The sequence below is a fragment of the Homo sapiens genome, chromosome 11, assembly GCF_000001405.40.
Source record: "Homo sapiens chromosome 11, GRCh38.p14 Primary Assembly".
NCBI lineage: Eukaryota > Metazoa > Chordata > Mammalia > Primates > Hominidae > Homo > Homo sapiens.
In genome coordinates this window covers 96,141,124-96,166,366 of record NC_000011.10, presented here as the reverse complement: position 1 = coordinate 96,166,366, position 25,243 = coordinate 96,141,124, and the positions used below count along the sequence as shown (strand labels likewise).

Below are 25,243 nucleotides of genomic sequence, written 5' to 3'. Positions count from 1 at the left end.
AGCTAAACAAACATGATCACACTTATCCTTTAAATTCAGTTGGCTATTTGCAGAAAACTGACTCACTCAATTCAGTTGGGAGTTTTTAGTCTAGCATGTTTTTGCAATCCCTGGGGCTTCCCACAGCCTGAAAGTCCTTCATAATGTGGGGTGTGTGTGTGTGTGTGTGTGTGTGTGTGTGTGTGTGTGAGAGAGAGAGAGAGAGAGAGAGACAGACAGAGAGAGAGAGACAGAGAAAGAGAGACAGAGAGGAAGAGACAGGCAGAGAGAGAAACAGAGAGAGAGAGCGAGAGAAATGCTGGCATTCAATGAGAATTGTAGGGAAATGATATTGTACAAAGGATATTCTCTGTGTCCATTAGTCTGTCCATAAGATGACTGTGTCCTCATGGTCTTGTGCTGTGCATGATACCTGCACAAATATCCTGCCTAAGGCAGAGCAATTTACAAAATCATAGATACTAATGTCAAATAAATATATGGGGGAAATGTTCAACCTCAATTGATGTCAAAGAAATACAAATAAAAGCGACAATGTGATACTGTTTTTCTCTTTTAAAATTGGTAATGCTGTTTTTAAAATTGTAATACCCTGGGTTGCCCCCAGGAAATCAGAAAATGAGACTCTGGTACTCTGCTGTGAGAGCGTAATTATGTATAACCTCAGAGGACAATTTGTCGATATGTATCAAAAACCTTAAAAATATTCGTAATCTTTGACCCACCCAGCAATTCTTCTTTTTAGAATTTATGTGCAAGAAACAACGAATTGGATTTTTATGGTATGTGAAATATACCTCAATAAAGCCATTTTTTTAAAAAAACAGAGATATGTAAAATGTAAATATTTATTACAGTATTATTTATAACTGAAAAATTGGAAAAGCCCTAATGTCTGTTGTATGCCACATCTGCTCAAAAGAATATAGCCATTAAAAAAATTACGTTAAGGTACAACTTTGGTTCTTAAAGTGTGTTTGCCAGACCAACACCATCAATGATATCTCCTGAAAACTTGTTAGAAATGCAAATTATGGATCTCTGCCCTAAAGCCACCACATCGGAAACTGGGATTAAGATTCAGCACTCTGTGTTTTAACAAGCCTTTCAAGGTGATTCTGATGCTCACTAAAGTTTAAGAACCACTTGCAAAAAAAAATATTCTTAATAAATTGCAACGTGTAGGGAAAAAAACACACTACAAAGCAATGTATAATGATGTGAGGTCAATTTATCTGAAAAATATTGTGCATATGCATGCCTAGAAGAAACAGTGGTGAGATATATTTGAAAAATTAACAGAATTTATCTACAGATGGTAGATAGATCTCTTTCGTTTTCTTCTGTATAATATTCTGTATTTTCCAAGTTTTCTATAATTGTTGTCTATTATTTATATAATGGAAAGTTCTTGCCCTTGAAAGTTCTGGCCACTAAGACATTTATGGAAATATATTGCACAAGTTCAATGAAGAGGAAAATAGAAAGGATGGGTGGGTTTCTCCCCTAATCAGTCCTGTTGGGAGGCTCATTGCCCTTGAAGCAGAATTTGACATTTTTTGTGCTTGCTTTACTTATGAAAGTGACACACTATCTGTCTTAAGCATTGTACATCAAAGGGTACATGGTCCGCGGTGCCCATCAGATCTTTGACCCTACTTTCTTTGAGATCACGATAGGGTGGTTTTTCTTCTTTTTTCTGTGTTGTGTTCAGGGATTTGTTGTATGTTGGCTTGTGCCTCCTGCTATGGAATAGGTGAGTTTGGGGCTTTGGCACAATCTGTATCACTCTAAAAAGAAGATCAAGAGCATGTTCTTCTTTCTTGGGAATTTCTTATAGAATCCTAAATAGCAACAGTATTATTGGTAAAATACTGGGATGGAAAAAACACTGGGTATATCAGGTGCCATAGGACTCTGTTACTACACTGTGTGATAGGGAAAAAAGGACAGGCCCAGGTTCCTTGTAACTAGTTCTGTAGCCTTGGGCAAATCTTTAGTATTCTCTGGGTCTTGCTTTCTTCACCTTTAAACTGAAAGAGTTGACAAGATGATCTCTGAAGTCCCTTTCAGCTCTGATTTCTATGCTTTTATGACTAGATTCACAGAGATAGACTGACCCATAACCAGAAGGCAATATAATGCTCTTTCATCTGTTTCCTGCAGCTTGGATTTGTGAAAGCGCAGTATTGGCTGGGCACGGTGGCTCATGCCTATAATCACAGCACTTTTGGAAGCTGAGGCAGGTGGATAACTTGAGGTCAGGAGTTCGAGACCAGCTTGGCCAACATGGTGAAATCCCCATCTTTACTAAAAATACCAAAAAAAAACAAAAAAAAATAGCCAGGCGTGGATGGGTACCTGTAGTCCCAGCTACTCAGGAGGCTGAGGTAGGAGAATCGCTTGAACCCGGGAGGCAGAGGTTGCAGTGAGCCGAGATCACACCATTGCACTCCCGCATGGGCAACAAGAGCAAAACTCCATCTCAAAAAAAAAAAAAAAAAGAAAGAGAGAAAGAAAGCTCAGTATTTCTTCAGAAGATAGAATATCCTTTAATGGGCTTCTGCCTGCTCTGGCAATGAAAATCTATTTTGAGATATTACCTCAGCAATATTATCAATACGAAGTGGTATTTGGTATTCAGGACCCTTCCAGAACAGTACCAAAGGTTTGGACAACCTACAGATAAAAATGATCATTGCTGAAAATGTAGAGAGAGACTAGATAGATGTCACAGGTCACTGGAGTAGGAACTATTTAGTGGAGAAGATGGAGTAGCTGTATAGGTCAGTTAGGAGACTTGGGTTCTAATCCTAGCCGTGACCTTGTCTAAGTACCTTGTCTTTCTCAGCTTCAGTTTTCTCATTTGAAATATTTCTGGTTGATCTCCAGGGTTATTTTGTTTGTGAAGATAATAAGAGCTTATGATTGGAAGAATGATATTGTGGGTATAAGATAGTTGACATACCTAAGGGAGTCTCCCAGGAAATAGCCACTGTAGACAAATAGAAAAGCTGGAAGAGTTGATAGAACTGGAAGGAGCCTCATCAACTCTACTGAAGGCCTGAATCATTTCTACAGCATCCAGCTTTTTTTTGACAGGGAATGAGAGATGAACACATACCTTGTCTGGGGCTGGCAACTGCCAACTTTTTCTTGAAGGGAGGGAAGTGTATACTTAAACTGCCGAGACAGTCTCGGGTTTGGGAAAGAGATTTCTGTTCATCTCTTTAAACTACGGAACGTTTATAGTGTGCACTCCACTGTAAAGGAAGCCCGTGAAGTTTGCTTGGCATAGGAGTAATGTGAGTAATGAAGTCTTGGCTCCAGCCAACATTCTAAAGCTGGGTTTTGCAAAAGTTGCAAATCCCCAGAGGAAATGCTGGAGCACAGAAGGCCTGCATATCATGGATTACACTAATCCAAGCAGGAAATGATAATGACATAGCTACACAAGCAGTGTTTTTCATGGCTAATTGGGAAGGATGGTCATTTAATCAAACTATGCCAGACTCCAGGCTTTTCGCATCTAGGGCAGCCTAGGAAAGAGCCCTCCTCAGACCCCCTTGTTCAGGGTAGTTAAGCTCAACTGTAAGTTCCATGAGGACAGGGACTTTATCTTTTTATTAACTTCCTTTTTTTTTTTTCTTTTTTTGAGACGGAGTTTTACTCTTTTGGCCCAGGCTGGAGTGCAAGGGCGCAATCTCGGCTCACCGAAACCTCCACCTCTCGGGTTCAAGCGATTCTCCTGCCTCAGCCTCCCGAGTAGCTGGGATTACCGGCATGCACCACCATGCCCGGCTAATTTCGTATTTTTAGTAGACAGGGTTTCTCCACGTGGGTCAGGCTGGTCTCCAACTCCCAACCTCAGGTGATCCGCCCGCCTCAGCCTCCCAAAGTGCTAGGATTACAGGTGTGAGCCACCGTGCCCAGCCTATCTTTTTATTAACCTCTAATACCTAAAACCTACTACAATTCCGGGAGCATAGCAATCGCTAGATCTGGTCTGGAAGATCTCTGAGTATCTAACTAGCTTTTTAATAAAATGCTTTGTTTTGTACCATGTCGAGGTACCAGGACTTGACTTTATGAGCCTCTTATGAATTAAAAAAAAAAAAAAAGTCAGACCTGATTCTGCATGTAAAGAACTGGATATGTTCATTGCAGAAAAAAAAAAAAAAAAAAAAAAAGTTAGATTGATAAAGTAAAATTAAGAGAATGCTTCCATGTGTGAGGTTATGTACATGCCCTTTAACTTTATTTTTCTTCTGTCTCTAACCAGACAGAGGCTGGGGTCTGGGATGTCTTCTCAGCATTTAAATGCTTCTTAATTTAAAACATGTTTTCAAGAGCTGAAAATGAATATGATGGCTGCATGGTATAGTAGAAGGGAGTAATGTGCTGAGGGCCTGAAGAGCTAGCTTTCAGCCCACAGGTACTGGCACCAACCTGTTGTAAGATCCAGCTTTCCTCCGCTGCAAAATGAAGGGCATCTATTGCCATGATTATATTTCCTAAACCAAAACTCATCGTCCAGTTCCTTATGATTTGGGAGACAGGAGGCAAACTGGGAGATATATCTGGAAGGTAAAATGTGGAAAGTTCCTGGACATGTTGATGCTGTGCAAACGGTGGAGTCGCATACGAACTCTATAGTTGTGGAGTAAACTCAGGACATAGGAATGCTGAACGTGAAACAAAACAATCTTAAATAAGATATAGAATAGACCCTGAGATCATGTTTTTATTGCCTCACATTCTTCTTTTGGCATGGAAGTAAATAATTCCAGTATCTGGAAGACAGTTGGAGGGTCAGCTGCACATCCCCCATTCTCAATCTCAAGTGACCTCCCTGCCAGTCTCTTAACATGCGACTTCCCCATCTGCTGGATCCCGAGATTCCTCTGTCCGTTTTACAGGGTAAAAAATGAACCTATTAAGAGACTGAAAAAGATCCGGGCTGTTCTGCTCAAGTAGTCATACTAGCAGGGAATGAGATTTATGAGATGAGGTAATAGACATACAAATAGAAAAATACATTCTAAAGGAACTTTTCCCTCAAATGCCTATTTCCTTTGTGATTGATTTGTGTGGGGGAGGCTGAGGAAATTTAATTCCCTTGCCTTCCCCACCACATTCCTCCCGTTTCAGGGTCTAAATGTTCCTAATTGCAGTACAGAGGCATCTTCTCAGAGAGCGGTCCTCAGGGACACTTCCCACTCTCCTCAGCTCTGCAGTTTCTAGTGGCTTCCTTCAGTGACATTCCTACTTTTCATTGACTCTTGAGATATTATATTAAAATGGAAGATTTATTCCCCTGGCAGAAATTGAGGTCACTGATATTCAGGGAAAGGTGCAGTGCCTCTCCAGTTATCCTGCAACTCTTTGTCAAACCCTGCAGAGTGATTAATAGGAAAGTGTTCGACAAGGGTCACTCGCAGAGGGCGGGGACTCTGGTTCAAACCACACTGTGTGCTCTCACCCAAGTGCGCACTTATAATCAATAATAGATACTGCAAGAGGACATACTGTGTAGCAAGCACAGGGCTACATAGATTCTATTCCTTATTTTATTGAATCCTCAAAACGAATCTTTAAATTGGGGAGTGTTAGTCCCTACTTTAAAAATCAGAAAACTGGGTTGGGCTCAGTGGCTCACGCTTGTAATTCCAGCACTTTGGGAAGCAGAGGCAGGCGGATCACCTGAGGTCAGGAGTTCGAGACCAGCCTGGCCAATATGGCAAAACCCCATATGTACTAAAAATAGAAAAATTAGCTGGACATAGTGGCAGGCGCCTGTAATCCCAGCTACTCAGGAGGCTGAGGCAGGAGAATCACTTGAACCCTGGAAGGGGAGGTTACAGGGAGCCGAGATCATGCCATTGCACTCCAGCCTGGGTGACAGAGTAAGACTCTGTCTCCAAAAAAAAAAAAAAAAATTGGAAAACTGAGACTTCGGTCAACCTATTTGCTAAAGGCCATAAAATTTGTAAGTATCACAGTTGGGTTCAAATCCAGCTTTCTGATTCGGAAGCCCATTCTGTCGGCCAGGTTCGAATGAGAATTCAGAATACCTTCCAAGGGAAGAGACGAAATAGGAGGCAACCTGAAGAGTGCATTGAAGAATAAAGGATCAGGGGCTCTTCCCCCGTGCCTTGATGTAAATAACTCTGTGAGATCATCTAAACATAAGCACCCCAGGGCTTTTTGTAGGCTCACAAGACACATCTCTTCTGCCTGGTTTCCTGCTGATTTAACATACAAGTGCTTATTAATCTCTTTCTATAGGGGAAAAGCACTGTGGCAGGCAAGAGAGATACAAAACTTATTAAAACATATACTCTTTCCTGATTCAAGGCAATAAACACTACAGAGCACGCAGCTATTAATAACTATAATAAATTCGGAATATGATATTACTCTAAATAAAGTAGAACTAGTATATAGAGTAGAGGCAGTGGGTTAGGAGTTTTTAAATTGTAGTTTTTTCCCAGACCAGCAGCATCAGTATCACCTCACCTAGGAACTTAATAGCAATGCAAATTTCCAGGCCCTACTGGAGAAACGGGGCTGGCAGCGTAAGCTGTACTTTAGCCCTACAGGTGATTCAGATTCTCCGTGAAGTTTAAGAATCAGTGGTTTAGGCCGGGCGCGGTCGCTCACACCTGTAATCCCAGCACTTTGGGAGGCCGAGGTGGGCGGATCACGAGGTCAGGAGATCGAGACCATCCTGGCTAACACGGTGAAACGCCGTCTCTACTAAAAATACAAAAATTAGCTGGGCATGGTGGCGGGCGCCTGTAGTCCCAGCAACTCGGGAGGCTGAGGCGGGAGAGTGGCGTGAACCCGGGAGGCCGGAGCTCGCAGTGATCTCGGCTCGCAGCCGAGATCGCACCACTGCACTCCAGCCTGGGTGACAGAGCGAGACTCCGTCTCAAAAAAAAAAAAAAAAAAAAAAAGAATCAGTGGTTTAGAGGCACGGTTAGTAACTGAATTGGCTTCACAGGAGATGGGGTAAGGGACTGACAACAAATCCGCCTGGAAAGGTAATTTAGGGCTGATGATTTAAAGGCATTGAACTTACTGCTGTGGAGACTTCATCCAACAGTGGATGGCAAGCCATTTGGTAAGCTTTACATTTTAGAAAGATTACTGCTTGGCAGTAAGTTTCAAAAGGGACTGTGCCATCTAAGTAAAAACTGACCACTGATTTCTCCTCTTTTTCATATTTCTGCTGTTCTTTCCACTCAAGTTTCTATGACAAAAGTTCTGATACAACTTGTCTTTATGAAAATCATATTAACTTCACTAACCCTTCAGGGATTCCTTGCAAATCTATATTTTCCAAATCTGTATCATAAGAAACAGAAGCAGCCCTTTCCCCACTAGTTAATAGGAAACAGAAGGCTCTACTCCGGTGTTAGAGGGGCCCAAAGGCACACCTTTTGGGATTTTCACACTTTCTCCTCTACCATTTACCATTTCTCCCAAAGATTTTATTCTCTTAACACAGTAGATTTTATGTCCTTTCCTGAAAGGTAAGTCTGGGACGATGAAGCCTTATCCACATCCTCTTACCAAACTCTATCTTTACCCAGGCATTTGGGTAATACTTGTTGTAAATAATAATTTTAATAAGAGCTAGGGGGCCTTCAGGCAGCAAATGCCCAGACTAGTAGTTCTCCACATGGTAGTCTCAGTCTTGACCATTCTTTCTAGAACCTGGTGACAGCTCCTCTGTGAAATTAAACAATAGACTTCATATATAAATTAGGACTTGTCAGTTCTAGCCTCCACCCAGGCAAAAGAAATCTGCTGTGATTTCAGGAAAAGCTTTTCTATCTCTTGAAGTTCTCAGAGGCTTTAGGAGTAGAGATCCATGCCAGTTCCAGACTCTCCCTTGCAGCTCCTCATGAGCTGCCCTTTGAAGGCCACTCTGGACTTCCCCTGTGCCACACAGGGAAACTGGGGCAGATGGTCAACCTGGGCAGCATATTGCTTGCAGAGCCTATCTCTATGTGTGGGCCTGGTCACCCCAGGACCAACAAAACAAAGCTAGAGAAGGACAACTGGGTGGTCCACTGTGTTAGGGAAACCAACACGTGTCAACAGACTATGAGAATTAGGACTCTTTCATCTGTAAATAAACTATGATTTTTCACCAAATCTTGGAGTGTATAGGACTCTTGTAGCACCTATTATCCATGTAATTCATTTTAGCAAGAATTATACTCTCTCAAACACTTTTTCTGTTTAGCCTTGCCTTCCCCACAGGACTTGGAATACCTTGAGAACAGGAAATATGATTTATATTTCTTTTGAATACTAAAACCACAGCCCTGGAAACACAATAGATAATTCTCCTTGAACTGAATTAAAATGGAAAGGGATATAAGAATTAGAGACCACCCCTTGAAGCTTGGAAAAGGTAATTTGAGGGTAAAAATAATGAAAGGAAAAGAAAACAAAATGTAATCTTAAATTATCAGGTAGCAAGTTTACAGAAGTTCTTACCCACAAAGGCAATATAAACAGCAAATACATAGTTCCCAACCTTTTTATTTGGATTCTTTCTGGCCATGGAAATCTTTTGGAACCCACATGTACAAGCTTTATCTATATCTATATCTAGCTATCAATCATCTGAATATTCTGTGTAGGGATTAGATATATCTAATATTGATGTAGAGATAAATGGGTAGATCATAGATACATACAGATAAGTAAAATACCCTTTTACTTGCAAAAGTCAAATTTTGTATAAGAGATACTTATCAGTTATTTCTAATGATTTTCATGCATACTCCATGAGCATGTTATTCTTGCCAGTGAACTGACAAGAATGGTGGTGGGGAGAGGTAACATTTAAGTGGGTCAGAAGGCTGATGGCATTTTGCCAAAGTCCCATGACGTTCCATAATGAAAATTATTCTCCTACTGTAGCACTCGCTGTTCCTCCACAGACCACCAGTGGTGAGACACAGGATGATAAACATTGCCTTATATGCTTTATGTGATTTCACAGGCAAAGCTCCAAGATGCTATATCAGGATGTTTGAGGAAGCTCTTAACTTTGGACATGAGAACATCAAGTAGGACAGCCCCTTTCTCCTACCAGGTGTCACTTCCTATTAGAAAGGAAGCTTGTGCATCATAGGTCTGACCCATTCTGACATGCATCTTTACTACTGGAGTTTTGAAACTTCACTGCATTCTCCGAATGTCAGCATTGAGAAACCTACAAAACACAGAATGTTTATCAATCTCTTCTTGTAGTGTCTGCCTTTCTGGCACTTCCTTCCTCTGCTGAATCATCTCAGCACTGCCAGGGAAACAATTTGAACCCTTTTGCCTTCTGAGTCTGCCTTGACTGCCTGAATGAGACATGGCTGGGGACTTTAAAACCACTGCAGTTACTGAGTCCACCACCCCTGCAAGTGAGACACAAGGCCAAAAGAACATCGAGTTTAGGATTCTGCTGTGTTTTGTTTTTATTGCTTCATAATACTAAAGTTCCATCTCAGAGATGAAACATTGTATAAAGAGACCTAGGTTTGCTTTCACTGGTAATTTGCTTTTCCTCCCCAACAAAACAGATGGAATTGTTGTTGTTGTTATTTAATCTTAGTACTTCTGGATGAACCATGACCATTCTTTACTTCCTCTGGTCAAACTTAAGGTGGCTTTCAGAAATTGGTTAATATGTCCTCAGATTACCTCTGTGATCTGAAAAGTATCCTTGTTTTTCTAGTTGGAAAAAATGAAGCATGAAAGGCTTAGGCAATCGCCTTATCCTGTCAAGGATGGAAGCATGAGTGGTCACTGGGGAACTGACTTCCTCCTCAGTGTCTTGGAGGGAGCTCTTGCCTTCTAGTTGGAGGGCAGTAAACGGGTGCTATCCAGGGGCAGCCATCCCAACAATGAGAGTTAGCCTCCCTCTCAAGGAGGGAGACCACAGCCCTGCAACTCCCCGCAGAGATGCCTCTTCCCTGGCTGACAGTTAAAGCAAGTGACCTTCAGCGAAACCATGGAAAGTCCAAGTGACTAATTTCATGAACCTCTGGTGTGTGAGGGGCGGAGGAGGAGGAGGAGGCTGCCTGGGCACAGGGCCAGCATGAGCCATCTCCAGTCCTTGCAGGGGGTTGAGGAGAAGATGAGAGCAGAAGGGGTCAGAAGAAAACAGGCTCCTCTGTGTGGTTGGGGGAGAGAGTCTGACCATGTGGACAGATGGAAGCCCTGGGTTACGGAGGCGAAGCATGTTAGCAAACCAGGAGCATTTCCTGTCTGCAGACAGGCAGAGGGCCAATTCTTCCATGAGCTGGAAATAGGAACCAGTGGGGGGCGGTCAGCACAACACTTTTCCTCTGTGGGTTTTACGTAGTGAAGTAAAGAAGCTTGTTATGTCAGTGATCCTGGGAGCTTGTTTATGTGCTGTGTTTTCTTTTATGTTTCCTCTTGTAATACTTGATGGTTCCCAATCCACAGAGGCCACATTGCAGTTACGTCCCAGACACACATCAGGCGACAGCCATTATTCAGGCTGTAATCATTTTGCCCAGCAGCATAGCTAGAAATGTTTAGACCATGAGTTAGCTTGTTGGGCCTTTGCTTCTGGAATGTACACATTCAAGGAGAGCAGGAGGGGCGGGGCAGGGACAGTTCTTTCTCTTTCCCTTGCTCTGAAGAAGTGACTAGGCTTCCAGTAAGCATTCATCACTGAGCAACTTAGTAGAAACAAAGCACTGTCCTTTGCAACCTGGAGAATAACAGCTAAACATTGGACCAGGGTGTTCTAGGTAGCCAGAGACTTTCCTCATATATATATATATATATATATATATATATATATATATATATTTGAATTGTTACAGCGCCCATGAGGTGGGTAGTATTGTTTAGAGGAAAATAGGGCTCAGAGAAATGTACAAGGTCTCATCATAGAAAACCTGACCCTGCTTTAAAGGACCATTTCAAGGAATGTGATCAGCAAGAAGGCAGGGTGGAACTAAATATTTCTCAGCCCTGTCAGCATTCCCAGGACCACTTCCTTTATGGGAATCTCATCATCATCTGATGCATTCTCTTCACCCTTTCTGGCCCAGCTTGGATACTATCCTTTCTTGAAGTTTGGAAGGGAGCCCAATGTAGAGCATTTCTTTTTCCCACCTGAATTCCAAATGAATTAAGAAACTTCGCTGTTCTTCATTTTAAAAAAGGACTAAGGTGGAAGATGGAGCTTGGCAAGTGAAGTCCCCAATTAGGCAGACTTATTTACCCAGTCATAGGCATCTAGGAGGGCCTGCTTGATGAGACTTACCGCGTGGAATAGCAGAGCACTGCTCCCTGCCAGCAGGCACTCCCTGGGAGAACGGGGAGGATCAGGACCCAGCACACGTCTGGCACAGTGAATCAGGAGCCAAGAGGCCGGAGTGTTACAGCTACTGGGGCTTCACAGGCTGCTGGCAGTAACCCTCAGATGTGGAGAAGAGTCACTTCACCTAATGCTTCCTCCAGGACATCTTACCTGGCACCTTTAGGATAGGTTAAGGTGCCCTTTCTGCTCCTCCATGGCACTCTCTGCACGTTACTATCTTGTCACATCCTGAATCGTAAGTTAATGTTCATGTGTCCCTCTCCCTCAAAGGACTGTGCACTCTGGGTGAATATCCTGGGTCCTTCCATCTTTTTATTCACAGTGCCTGCTACCTCTGAGAGTTTGTTGAACTGAACTGAACTGAGATACTGGGCCTCTTTACCAACCAATACTGAAAATACTTTGTTGTTGGGTGGTCTTATTCACTTCTGCAATGTTATTCTAAGTATTCATTTACAAAGTCAGGATAAGCACTGATAAGACAGCCTACAAGTTCTAAAGGGAAGACTATGATATGCAGATAAAAGCTGCAGAGGCAACTGGCAACTGATTCTATTTCTCAAATTGAACCTGGATAATGTCTGAGAGGAGGTTGGTAGGAGCAGCTATTATTTGGAGTAAGTGTATGTGCTGGTAGCAAATCAATCCAAGATTTGATAGGGAGCCCTCCAGTTGCATTTTCTGTGTTGCAGACTGCTCAAAAGTTTTGTCCCCAGAGTAGCTACCGCACCTGGGAGCTTGTTAGAAATGCAAATTCTCAGGCCCCACCCGAGACCTACTGAATCAGGATTTCTGGGAGCAGGGTCCAGGAATCTATTTTTAACAAGCTCTCTAGGTAATTCTTTGTTAAAGTTCAGTTTGAGAAGCTTTGTTAAAGTAGTCCTCCTTCTCTAATGTAGGAAGAACAGATTTGCAGAGTCAAAGAAAATCATAGTGAGAGCTCACATATTTTGCAAAGTGTTGTTTTAAACACTGTAAGTATATTACCATCTTTATTCCTTGTGACAATCCAGTGACATCGTTACTATTTTTGTTTTATCATATTTATTTATTTATTTATTTATTTATTTATTTATTTATTGAGACGGAGTCTTGCTCTGTTGTCCAGAGCTGGAGTGCAGTGATGCGATCTTGGCTCACTACAACCTCTGCCTCCCAGGTTCAAGTGATTCTCCTGCCTCAGCCTCCTGATTAGCTAGGATTGCAGGTGTGTGCCACCACACACAGCAAATTTTTTGTATTTTTAGTAGAGATGGGGTTTCACCTTGTTGGTCAGGCTGGTCTTGAACTCCTGACCTCATGATCTACCCACCTTGGCCTCCCAAAGTGCTGGGATTACAGGTGTGAGCCACCACACCCAGCCACTATTTTTAACTTTCCCTTATAGATGAGACAACTGAAACACAGGCCACTACCTCACTTGCTTTGGGTAAAAAATTTGAGAGAATGTCAAAAACCTCAGTAATCAAGATTAATAATATTTTAATGTAATCCTTTAAAAAACCAAAATTAATCCTAATAAATTCATGATGATCAAAATACCAAAATATAAAAGAAAGGCAAGATTCAATAGGCAGAATGTTACAATAACTTGCCAGGATGATACAGTTAGGAAGAGGCAGGGTAAGGACTTGAACCCAAGTGGGTTGACCCCAGGGACCACATGCTTAACTGCCATCGTGTGGTCCTCCTAACAAATAATACCACTACAAGTCTTGATGTTTTGATAGGACAAGGAAAGGTACAGGCGTAGGAGCAAGCGTCATTTGGGATTAAGGGATGCCTCATTGTTTTGGACTAATTGGGACCTCATGCAAAAAAAAAAAAAAAATTCTAAAAACAGAAGCAGAAAATCCAGATGGGGCCTAAATTTTATACCTTGACCATCTATGAATTTAAGTATGAAAAAAGAAGATTTCCAAAGCATCCTCTTAATTTTTCTTCTGGCTGGCTCCTGCTGGGAGAATCAGTGGGTAAAACTACCCTGCATTCTGGCTGTAGAAATGTGATAATTAGAATCACTTAATATAACTGCAGTGTCCTCCTTGGTTCCTCCACCTTGAGAGAGATAGATGGAGCATTTCCCTTGCTTGCATCCAATCTGTGAGATTCTGGCAGGCAGGCTGCTTGTCTTGAGGGCTTGTCATTGAGAGCTGGTCACCTAGAATGCCCCGACATGTTTGAGCTGCATTGTTAAACTACATTGGTATTCTCCCAGCAAAACTCCTCTCCTTCTTTTACCAAATCAGCATTCTGTGAACACAGTATTTCCTTGCCTGGAAACATTGCAAGTTTCTGCTACACCCACCATGACTCTTCCTTGCTTTATACAAATTGGCTCTAAGGAATATTTCTGGTAAATGTGTTCATGTGTCAGGAGACTGAAACAAATTTCACATGATACACTGAAGAAAATGATCAAAGGGTTTATGGCTAGCCCCCACGGTCCCTCGCTTTAGTTGGAAGAAAAGAGAGAATGAGTTTTATACACCTAGAATTCTTGCTGGCCATGTGCTATATGATATTTAAGGTAAGTGAGAACTGCAGAGTTTTAACACTTAAACATTTGGACAGAACTTCAACTGGTGTTCTATCTTCTCTGTCGATTATATTTTTAATAGCTGTAGTAGTTGGGAATAAGTTGTTTCTCGATTTGTCATTTAAATCCAGTAGAGGTCATTTGTTGGATGTTACCAAGTGAGTGCTGAATGAGTCTACATTTCTTTTGCTGTTGATAACAATATGCAGTTACTCTTTTTCACCTATTCTTTTAGACAGAATCTCACTCTGTTGCCCAGCCTGGAGTGCAGTGGTGCAATCATAGCTCATTGCAGCCTCAAACCCCTGGGCTTAGTGAACTTGCCACCTCAGCCTCCCAAGTAGCTGGGACTATAGGTGCACACCACCATATCTGGCTAATATTTTTATTAATAGTAGAGATGAGATCTCAATATGTTGCCCAGGCTGGTCTTAAACTCCTAGCCTCAAGTGCAAGCAGCCCTCTTGCCTTGGCCTCCCAAAGTGCCAAGATTACAGGCATAAGTCACTATGCCTAGCTATAAACATTTTTTCAACAATTTATCTTAAAAATATGTATTGATCACCTATGAACTAAAATCCTAAGGGCTGTATTAGTCTCTCACTGCTATAAAAAATACCTGAGACTGAGTAATTTATAAACAAAAGAGGTTTCATTGGCTCATAGTTCTGCAGGCTTTACAGGAAGCATGGCAGCATCTGCTCTGGGGAGGCCTCAGGGGAGTTTTATTCATGGTGAAAGGCAAAGTAGGAGCGGGTGTCTTACATGCCAGGAACAGGACAAAGGAAGAGGGGGAAGGTGCTACATACTTTTAGACAACCAGATGTGAGAACTCACTCACCATCATGAGAACAGCACTGAGGAGTTCGTGCTAAACCATTCATGAAGGAGCATCCCCACGATCCAATCACCTCCCACCAGGCCTCACCTCCAATACTGAGAATTACAACTGAACATGAGATTTGGGTGGGAACACAGATCCAAACCATATCAAGGGCCGGTTATATGAGTTAGATATAGTTTCTGCCCTTCAGGAGCTTTCGGATTACTTGCTGTCAAGAAATATAACTCATAACTGTAATGCAAGATATGACAGACTAAGAAGAAATAATGGAAATATTTTGGATGCCCAATGATGGGAGAGGCACCCCTTGGAGAAATCAAGAAAGACGCTGCATTTTAGCTCAGCCCTATGGATCAGAAGGATAAAGAGAGGTGAAAGAGTGTCCCAGGCAAGGGCAAAGGCAGGAGCTGAGGAAGGATGGATGGAGCATGTTCTGAAAAAGGAAAGTGTCCCGGTAGGCTAGAAGAAAGTGAAAATTAGACGAGGGAGTTTGAAGTGTATTCAGCAGGCACCAGTGAGCAACAGAAGGTTTTGTGTTTCAGCAATGATGGGAGATAAGTAGAGCTATGCTTGAAAGCAATGCTTTTCAGACTTTAATGTGCATTCAGATCACCAAAAGAGTTTGTTAAAGTATACATTTAGATTCGGTAGGTCTAGGGAGGGGCTTAAGATGCTGCATTGCCAAGAAGTTCCCAGGTGATGCTGATGCTGCTAGACTGTAGAACACGCTTTAAGCAGGGAGACTTCAGAAAAATGCTGTAATGGGAGGCAAAATAAACTAGAGTTGGGGAGGCCTGGAAACTGTCAAGCAGGGGTTAGTATGGTGGCCCTACAAGGGTAAAGCAGGTCTGAACTAGAGTAGTGACCACAGGGATGGAGACGAGGACTATCTGGTGGCAGTCAAATTTTCAGGGCTTAATACTATCTTATGTAGGGTGAGGGGGAATGGGTCGCTCATTAATGACTCTAAGACCCCAAAGCTGTGGGTGTGGGTGCTTTGAGCATGTCCCTGCCCTAACTCTCTGCTCTCATCATCCTGAACTACTTGCAATTTCCTCAGAGTTGCCAGGCTGTCTGTCTGGGCTTGTGTACTGTTGCCAATGCTTCAAGAAATGCTGACGTCTCTCTCCATCCCCTTACTAGATTAACTCCTACACAACCCATAGGATTCAAGGTAAGTGTCACTACTTCCCAGAAGTCTTCCCGGGCACCCTAACCCACTCCCTGCTCCCAGTCTGGGTTAGGTATCCTTCCTATGTGCTCTCACTTTATCTTGCAAGGTCTCATATCCAAGCACTGTGTATTCTGATTACACACTTGTCATTGAAGCTGAGCTTCGTGAGAGCAGGGATTATCTTTTTCAGCTTTGTGACTTCATCACTCCCACATAGTAGAGACTCAGTAAATGTTTGATGTATGAATCAGGAGGAAGAGCAAAGCTTTTCTTGCTGTGATGGCAATAACTTTTGTATTTGTCAAAAATTGTTAACGAAATTTCAAGTCAATTATTTAGATATTGAATTTAATTTAGATTGGTACATGATAATTTGAGGGGTAGAATATTCAGGCGAAGATATCCAACAAGTAGTTAGAAGTTTTGGAGTACAAATTAGAAGACAATTTAGTACTGGCCATGATGACTCAGGAGTCATATGCATTGAGGTGACAGTTAAGAACATGGCGGTGGATCAAATAAAGACAGAGAGACAGGCAGAGCCAGGCAGAGACAAAGGAAGAAGGAGAGATCAGCAGAGAAATTTAGAAGAGAGAAGGAGAAGGAGACCGAGAGAAGACAGAAGGAGACAAAGAGAAGGAGACAGAGAGCAGACAGAGGCAAACAGAGACAGACTGAGGACAACTTTACTTTTCTTTTTTTGAGACAGAGTCTCACTCTGTCGCCTGGGCTGGAGTGCAGTGGCGTGATCTCAGCTTACTGCAACCTCCGCCTACTGGGTTCAAAAGCAATTCTCCTGCTTCAGCCTCCTGAGTAGCTGGGACTACAGGCACATGCCACCATGCCCGGCTAATTCTTGTATTTTTAGTAGAGATGGGGATTCACCATGTGGGCCAGGCTGGTCTTGAACTCCTGACCTCAAATGATCCATCTGCCTCGGCCTCCCAAAGTGCTGGGATTACAGGCATGAGCCACTGCGCCTGGCTGAAAACTTAACTTCTCATTTTTTTTTTTTTTTTGTGACGGAGTCTCACTCTGTCACCCAGGCTGGAGTGCAGTGACGTGATCTCAGCTCACCGCAGCCTCCACCTCCTGAGTTCAAGCAATTCTCCTGCCTTAGCCTCCTGAGTAGCTGAGATTACAGGCGTATGCTACCATGCCCAGCTAACTTTCTTTTTGTATTTTTAGTAGAGACAGGGTTTCACCATGTTGGCCAGGCTGGTCTCAAACTCCTGACCTTGTGATCTGCCCACCTCGGCCTCCCAAAGTTCTGAGATTACAGGTGTGAGCCACCACACCTGGCCTACTTTTCAATTTTGAAGAGCTTCTGTGATACCGTGGATGAGGCACATGACTGGGTTGCATGTCACAGTGGAAGGCAATGTTCGTCACAGAGGGCTACTGGAACCTTTAAGAGGGAGATCCTAAAGTGACGAGGTTTAAGATGCCGCCTTAAGCAATAGGGCTATATGTGAGGTCAGGATTCAGAAATCAATTTCACATCCATGCTAACTGGGCCTGTTTTACGCCTTTCTAGCTTCCTGCCTGGGCAGAATCCATTCGTCAAAATGTAGATGGACTTAAAGCTTTGTCTCAACTCCTCTGTCCTTTGGTTTCCAAACCACTTTATGAGATCATCTAATCAGCTCACACATGTGCTGTCTGTCTTTCTCATACACACACACTACTTCTTCCTGCCTTCTCCTATCAGGTAGTGTGCGTGCTTATGTGTGTGTGTGTGTGTGTGTGTGTGTGTGTGTGTGTGTGTGTGTGTGTATTTTTCAGAATTTTCAGACTTTTCAGGCCAGAAGGACATTTCCCCACTTCATATTGATCCCCAACATTTCAGGGAAAGCAATGCATTAAATAAAATAATGTTCAGCTTCAGGCGGGTAGGCACCCTGCAAATCATAGTGTAGACAGGCACCTACCAGGCCTCCAGAAAGAATGACCACACCTAGGCTTTTTTTTTTTTCATGTTACCCAAAGCAGCATTTTAACAGACTTCTATTGTGTTTTCTCCATTCAGTTCACTTAGAGGGTGACATTTTGCCCTCAAATTCATATGTATAGTTGCTCTAAGAGACTTTCAGAGCTGCATGCCTGACAAAATCAGACCTTCTGTTTTATCTGAAACAACCCCCCAAAGAAAATCATTGAATCTGAATGAACAGAACAATTCTTTATGTCCACGGGAGACAGGCAGACAAAACCCAATAAAAATGAAGAAAGAAAGAGACATGGCAATGATTTGTTTTTCATAATTACTTATTCAGAGTAGAAAGGAGCAGGGGAAGAGGGTTCCTTTTAACATGTCCCGACGTGACAGATGAGGTGTGCTCGTCGTGTATACGCAGGAGAGATGAATGCACCACAGTCTTGTTAAAGGAGATGCTTCTCATTGGACAGAGATATATTTCTATCTGGAATGCTGGAGATAAACACCCAGCATTTTACTCCTCATTTTCATTATGCCTAAAGCCCCTGACTGTTCTTTCAGAGTGGCAGGTGATGTGACTAGCATGCATCAGACCATTCTTTTCTATGTCCTGTGGCAAAAACAATCCCCCTTTTAAGACACAACACAGGGGTACCCCAAGTGCATACTTTGCTCCGAACAATACCCCTACAATGTGCATGTGATAGATTCGGAAATCATACTGGAGTGTAAAAAACTACATCATCTCTAAATTCATTTTCCTTTCCTTATAACCAGTTTACTTTGGTGCAAAATTTGCCCAAGAAGGGTTTTAGCCAGAAATCAATGGAGAGAAAGAAAAAAGGAAAGTTTTAGTTAAATTGTCTTTGTTTCTTCACCTACGTGGAAAAGGTAAAGAAACTTTTTCTACTTAAAGCACATAGCCTTTGCTCATGGAAGAGTCGAATCCAAAAGTTTCTGACTTGAACTATAAAAGCCATAAATCAGATCTACGATTTAAAAAAATATAAACTAACACTATAATTTTTCATGTATCTGATTAAGGGAGGGTTTAATGCATTCATGAATCATTTCCTAAGACTGTTATGAATTCAAGGATAAAGGATGAAAAAAATGATAAGTGCAGGAAGTATAAAAATAAGGGTTATGCTATAAACTTTTATGTATCCATATTACAGTCATGTAGGGACCTAGATTGTATCTAAAGCCATGTAAATATATAAGTTAAAACTTGGGGATTTGTGGGTAGCTGGGAGATTATAGTCCACATCACTCATCTTATAGAAAAGGAAGTATTGAGGAAAAAAGTTTAGCTGTATAGCATATATAGTATTATTTCTTCAGTCATGCATATAATTACTTATTACAAATTTTCTTGCACCTACAATGAGCCAGATACTAAGTACACTACAATGAGTTTGACACTAACTCATAAGTGGGTATTCTATAAATGGTTTCTTAATAAATGAAGGATAGAACATGATCTCACTCTGGGGTAGCTGAAAGGTTGAACTCAAGTCTCATGATCCCCAGGAGATCACATGGCCTTTCATTTTCAGCAAAGAGTGTGCCAAAACAGGTTGGTCTGGCACCATTTTTCTCAGAGCTTCTGCATTAAAAAAGGCTGTCAACTGCCTCTTTTCACTTTTAAAGAATCTCAACAAAAATAAGTAACCAACAGCATTTTCAACATCAAACTACTTCTCTCTTACAAACCCAAATGAACAACTGTCAATAGATGAGGAATCCTCAAGTTTGGATGACACAATCCTGCCTCACTGCTGTATTCAGAGTCCATGTTGTAGGATGAGGAGTGTAGAAAACCCTGATGCTGCCATTTACTGAGTACCTATCTCATGGCAAGTATTTGAGGTCCTTTACACAGAGATTTCATCTAATCCTCAAAGTAAACTATGATATGGTGTGATCAGCTCACACAGTTGAAGATGCTGAAGGTCAAAAATGTTAGACAACAGACTCATAACAGCTGGCAGGTGATATATCTTAGATTTGGACTCAGCCCTTTCTGACTCTGAGTCCCATGGTTTGTCCCCTGTCCTGCCTCCCCGATTCACTGCTAATAGCAATATTGTATACAATTCTTAAAAATCATTTCAACTATGAGCAAGTAGTGAGTACATATAGCCAGACTGGCCCTGAGCATGGTTTCTCATTTTCTCTTGTCAAAACCTACCAGATCTCATGGCCTGCTCAAGGATCCCAAGAGATGGAATTCCTTATAAGAAACCTATCTGGTTTCCTTCAAATAGTTAAGCTCCTGCTACCAATAATATTATAAAAATTATATCCTGAGGGTGCTCTTATGTAAGATACCATGCTACCACAATGATATGGATATATAAACCTTTTCCCTCACTTTGTGGTTATAGGAGTAGATTGAAAATCATCCATATTTTATGTGATCATACTGCATGTCACAATGTTTGTGTGTGGCACACACACGTGTAAGTATACAATTTTTTTTTTTGAGACGGAGTCTTGCTCTGTCACCCAGGCTGGAGTGAGGTGGCATGATCTTGGTTCACTGCAACCTCCGCCTCCCAGGTTCAAGCAATTCTCCTGCCTCAGCCTCCCTAGTAGCTGGGATTACAGGCACCCACCACCATGCCCGGCTAATTTTTTGTATTTTTAGTAGAGACGGGGTTTCGCCATGTTGGCCAGGCTGGTCTCGAACTCCTGACCTCAGGTGATCCGCCTGCCTTGGCCTCCCAAAGTACTGGGATTACAAGCATGAGCCACCACGCCCGAACAAGTATACAATTTTTAAAAGCCCTCACACATCATGATTTTATCAGGACAGTCCCTTTAATAACTTAGGAAACTGTTAGAGGATTTATTTTAACACAACAAGTAACAGGTTACACAGCTAATAAGTGAAAGAGACAGGACCAGAACCCACACGTCTTAACACCTAGACAAATATTTCTTCCACTGTGCCAGGCAGTTGAAAATTCCCAGCCTTATCATGTGCTCTTCATCTTTTCCCTAAAAATTCACAAGGCAGCATGATGTTATCTGACTTATCACTCACTGTAAATATTTTAGCATTTAAATGAGGAGGCAGAGTAAAGAGAAAAATGTTTCTGTAGAGATTTTTGCAGAGATAGAGAGTTCTTGGTCTCCATCCAAGGATCTTGAGCGTTTAATGAGACTACTGTCCACGAGTTGGTACAGGGTTTAGCAATATCATGGTAGCTATTTGGCGGCTCATGGTCTTCCTCAAGGTCTCCAAAGGGAAAACAGGAAGCAAGGCTTAGTTCTAACAGAAGCTGGACTCTGGTCTTAGCCCTAAATAAAGCATGCCACCTCTCTGAGCTTCAGTTTCACTATTTTTAAAATGAAGGTAATAATTCCTGTTTGCCCAACCCACAGACTTGTTTTTGAGAGTCCAGTGAGGTAATGCATGTGAAACTTCCTTGAAAACCATTAGTATTAAATGCCATACAAATGTAGGGATTATTATTAATATTATTAATGGATCACAAAGATTCCATAGCACTGAGAAAATGATGAAATGAAAATAATCCAATGCATTGGAAGTTGATCAGGGCAGCCTTCACTCCAAATTACCTTTGACTTGTCCCCTGTCACTCCCTAGAATCTAAAATGAGGAAAGTCATTTCTCTTCCACGGGATTTGTATAAGAGTGAAACAAAATGTCTGTGAAATACCTAGAGTAGTACTTGGTATATATCTGGCCTCTTTTCTAAAACTTCCCGAGATGAAACCCTATCTCTCATCAGATAGCCTGCCAGATGATCTAACACAGGATAGCAAGTATTCTTATTATTTGTTACTGTTTCTATTATTCTCAATTTAAACCACTTCCTATAATTTCACAGTAAAAACAGAGCCATTCATCAGATAATAAGCCCAGTGGTCTCTCTCTTCTAATCTTCTAAGGTCAGCTACATGGAGGGGAAGGGGGCAGGTAGCACAAATATCTGAGGAATTATATAGGGATTGAGGGCCCTAAATCCATGAAAAAGAGCTGATTAATTCCTCTACATATGGTTGAACAGAACCCACTTCTACCACTTACTCTATTCGTCCCAACCTGCCTCCCTCTTCTCCCCTCATTCTTGGCTTACTGGAAGATTTAACCATAGCTAAGCATGCTAGTCAGCAATGGATTATAGACACTGAGTTTCTTTCTCAATAAGCATTCTTAACTACATTATAAAAATTCTTCTCTAGATGTACGTATTTGTTTAAAGTCCTTTGAGACTCTAATTAATGTTACTCAGCATCTTCCCAGCAATGTGATCCCAGTTGCTAATTGTTTTACCTGGTTAGTAAAAGGTCTTATCAGTTAGGCTGCAGAATTGAGACGAGAACTCCCAGCTCTGAATAAAAAGCCCAAGCTCATTTCTTTATGTCATACTTCCAGCCATGAAATTATTAGACTCCTATAAACTCATCATTTCAATTGCTGTCCTGTTCCTTCATTCTCTACCAGACCTCCCAAGCAAGAACTCCAGGATGATACTTAGTGCAATTGTGCTAACATCTTCAAACACTGCAGTGAGGTGTTTGAAATAAAATGTGTAATTATGGTAGTGGAAAGCTACATCTGATTCCAAACAAACCTCACGTTCCCCCAGCTATAATTAGAGAGCAAGGTTCGCGGCACAGATTTTCCCATGAAATCCAGTTCAAGTAAGGCTTCTGTTCTTTCAGAGGGGCTCCTGGAGGTGGAGATTGTGATTAAATGGTTTGACATTGGTCCCCCTTCCACATTCTAAAGAGATTGTCTATTATCATTCTTGGAGTCTAAAAGCACAAAATATGTGCAAGGAATTAATGTTGTTTGGAGTTTTGGATAATAATCTTCCAATTTATTTGTCTCTGAACAGGGACAAATTAGAACAGGGAAGGAAAGTTACAGACACACACCCACAGAAACCCACGGACCAAAGTGTGCAGAAGTAAAAAACCGCCTCTTAAATGTCTCCAGAGAAATTTATGGAAATCGGAAATCCCTGCAGCTTCGGATAAAACTAGACATTGTTTTGAATAATCTCACAGGCCCCTGCAACTTAAAATCCATAATAATAGGAGCAAGAGCGACATGACCGAGGGCTCAAAGATTTTCCTGTTTCCTATTAATATTTGAGGACTGTCCATCTGAATCTTCTCAAAAGCATAGATTTCTTGACTGCCCTTGGAGGACTTTTGTAATTAGGCATATTTAAGCTGTACCATGTTATACTGCTACAGGAAGAATCCCATTTGTCAGCAGTTTTAAACTTTGCCAAATAAAGGCTTATTGGCAAACGGCAGTGAACACTCTGATAATGACCCAACTTTAGAAAACACACACCCTGCTGTGTTGTATTCAAGCCACAGTTCTGTTGAAATAAAAAAGAGAGACAATGCCTGCTTTCAGACACTAGAGATCCTTTGTATTCCAATAAAAGTCTAAATTAATGTTTTAAAAGGTTATTGCTATTTTTTCCCATTTAGCTGGCATCAGTTGTAAGTCTTATTTAGACAAGGTCCTACGTTATTTTACTATTTCTTTTTGCACAAAAGCTAGTATTTGATTGTGTTAGATCATCAGCTTCTGGTTTTCATTAGACAAACCTGAAATACCCTATTATTAAGATTAAACAAAAAAATAGTTGTTTTCTTATTCTGAAACCTATTATTTTGAGGCTGCTCTGACCAGAGGAAGAGAAATCAGTTTTGCAAAACCTGATGGAGAGATACGTCAAGAGGAGAAGCAATAACCTCATCAATGCTGCATTTAGGTTGCTTTTGTAAATGAGATCCCTTCCTGGATCTGACAATGGGAAGGAAGGATAATTTCGTTCTTTGGCATTGGCAATACTTTCTTTAGTATAAAAGGACTTTCAAAGTGCAAAATATAGGGCAAAGAATACTGTTTGCCTATGTAATGTCAGCAAACTGGTGAGGTGCTGCAGAGAATCTGCAATAACATCGTACTGGAACCTGAGGGTTATGAGATCTTAGATCTCCATGTCATTTACGCTTACCATGGTATTTTCTCAATGTTAACTCTCAGAATAAGCCCTTAGCAAGTGGTGGGTATTTTTCCAGTCATACCAGTTTAACAGGGAAAAAGAGAGTCAGAGTAACATTCACAAATCAAGATTTCCCTAATTCTTCCATCATTCAGATGGGAACTCTAGCCCCTTCAGATTTCTCCCAAATAGATGAGAAATTTTCTAGGGGCACCTCATATGGACTCTTCCTCCTGAATTATTCTTACTGGTCCTTTGGGTTTCAACATAGAAGTCATTTCTTCAGAAAACCTACTCTACCAAACTGAAGAGGGGTTAGGTGCCCCTCATATGTGCTTGCAAATTATTATAGCTCTATCCATACAATATTGTGATTGTCTCTGGTCTTGTTGCTTTCCTGCACTAGATTGTGAGCACCATGACATTAGGGATCATATCTTTTCATTGTACTGTTAGCTACACATAACAGACTGCATGCTATACGTTGGTAAATGTTAATTAAATGAATATCTTCTCAGGCTAGCTTTTTTGATCGCCCCAACGCCTTGGCTAGTTTTCTCTCATCCTGCCTCAGATTGCTGTGGTGATGCGTCCCGCTAGCACCTGCAGAGACAGCCCTGTTGGTAATGTTGGCCACAGTGCCAGCTCTGCTGCCAGTGCCCATCGATGTGGACATGGAGGCGGTCCTAGCTTCAAGCTGACGGTGCTCCCCTGCTGATACAGAAACTCCTGATTCCAAAGCTACATTATTTTGTTTGTTTTATGCCCTGTGTCTTTGTATCACCACCCCCATTGCTAAGGCCTGGTCCTTATGTGTGGAGAAGGAAGGCAATCGGAGGGAGGAGGTCTTCTGTGCTCAGAATCACCCCTTTTTCTATGATAGTGCCTCAAACTCATTTACCTTGGCTCTCATCCCTGAGGATGAGTTTTTTCTTGCGATACTCTTTGGTTCCTCATTTAAATGGACCCTGGTGGGATTTCTCTTCTCCATCTGACAGACCTAAATATGCCCTGTTCTCAGGGTAAGCACAACTGGGGCTCTAGCTGGGGCCTCTTACGTAGTATAAAGATAAAGAACTATCTGTGCATAGGGAATCTTTTGCTCCTTTGTATTTCAGGGGAGATGTCAAGGGTCCTGGTAGGGTTTCCAGGTAAAATACAAGATATTTAATTAAATTTAAATATTAAAATACAAGATACTTAATTAAAATTAAATATCTGGTAAACAGCAAATAATGTTTTGTTTTGTTTTCCAGTATGTCTCAAATGTTGCATGGGACATATTTGTACTAAAAATGTGCTGCACTCCAGCCTAAAAGTAAGCACCTCACCAGAAGGATGTCATGTCATCCTTCTTCCCCCATA

At 41.6% G+C, this 25,243-nt stretch overlaps 1 protein-coding gene across 3 annotated transcripts in view, besides 2 other annotated features; it reads left to right on the top strand.

Annotated features, from left to right (window-relative positions):
- The window catches only part of MAML2 (mastermind like transcriptional coactivator 2), a 366,598-nt gene that overhangs the window by 176,829 nt on the left and 164,526 nt on the right, over window positions 1-25,243 (top strand). The gene's annotated exons all lie outside the window — the stretch shown is intronic.
- Window positions 10,078-10,197: an enhancer, noted in NCBI's record as "active region_5420". NCBI's record gives its function as "activates an Ori minimal core promoter by ATAC-STARR-seq in GM12878 lymphoblastoid cells {active_cell/tissue: GM12878}" and the evidence as "EXISTENCE:reporter gene assay evidence [ECO:0000049][PMID:35858748]".
- Window positions 15,581-16,780: an enhancer, noted in NCBI's record as "P300/CBP strongly-dependent group 1 enhancer chr11:95882751-95883950 (GRCh37/hg19 assembly coordinates)". NCBI's record gives its function as "activates an origin of replication core promoter dependent on BRD2, BRD4, P300/CBP, MED14 and CDK7 cofactors, with strong dependence on P300/CBP, by STARR-seq in HCT116 cells {active_cell/tissue: HCT116}" and the evidence as "EXISTENCE:reporter gene assay evidence [ECO:0000049][PMID:35650434]".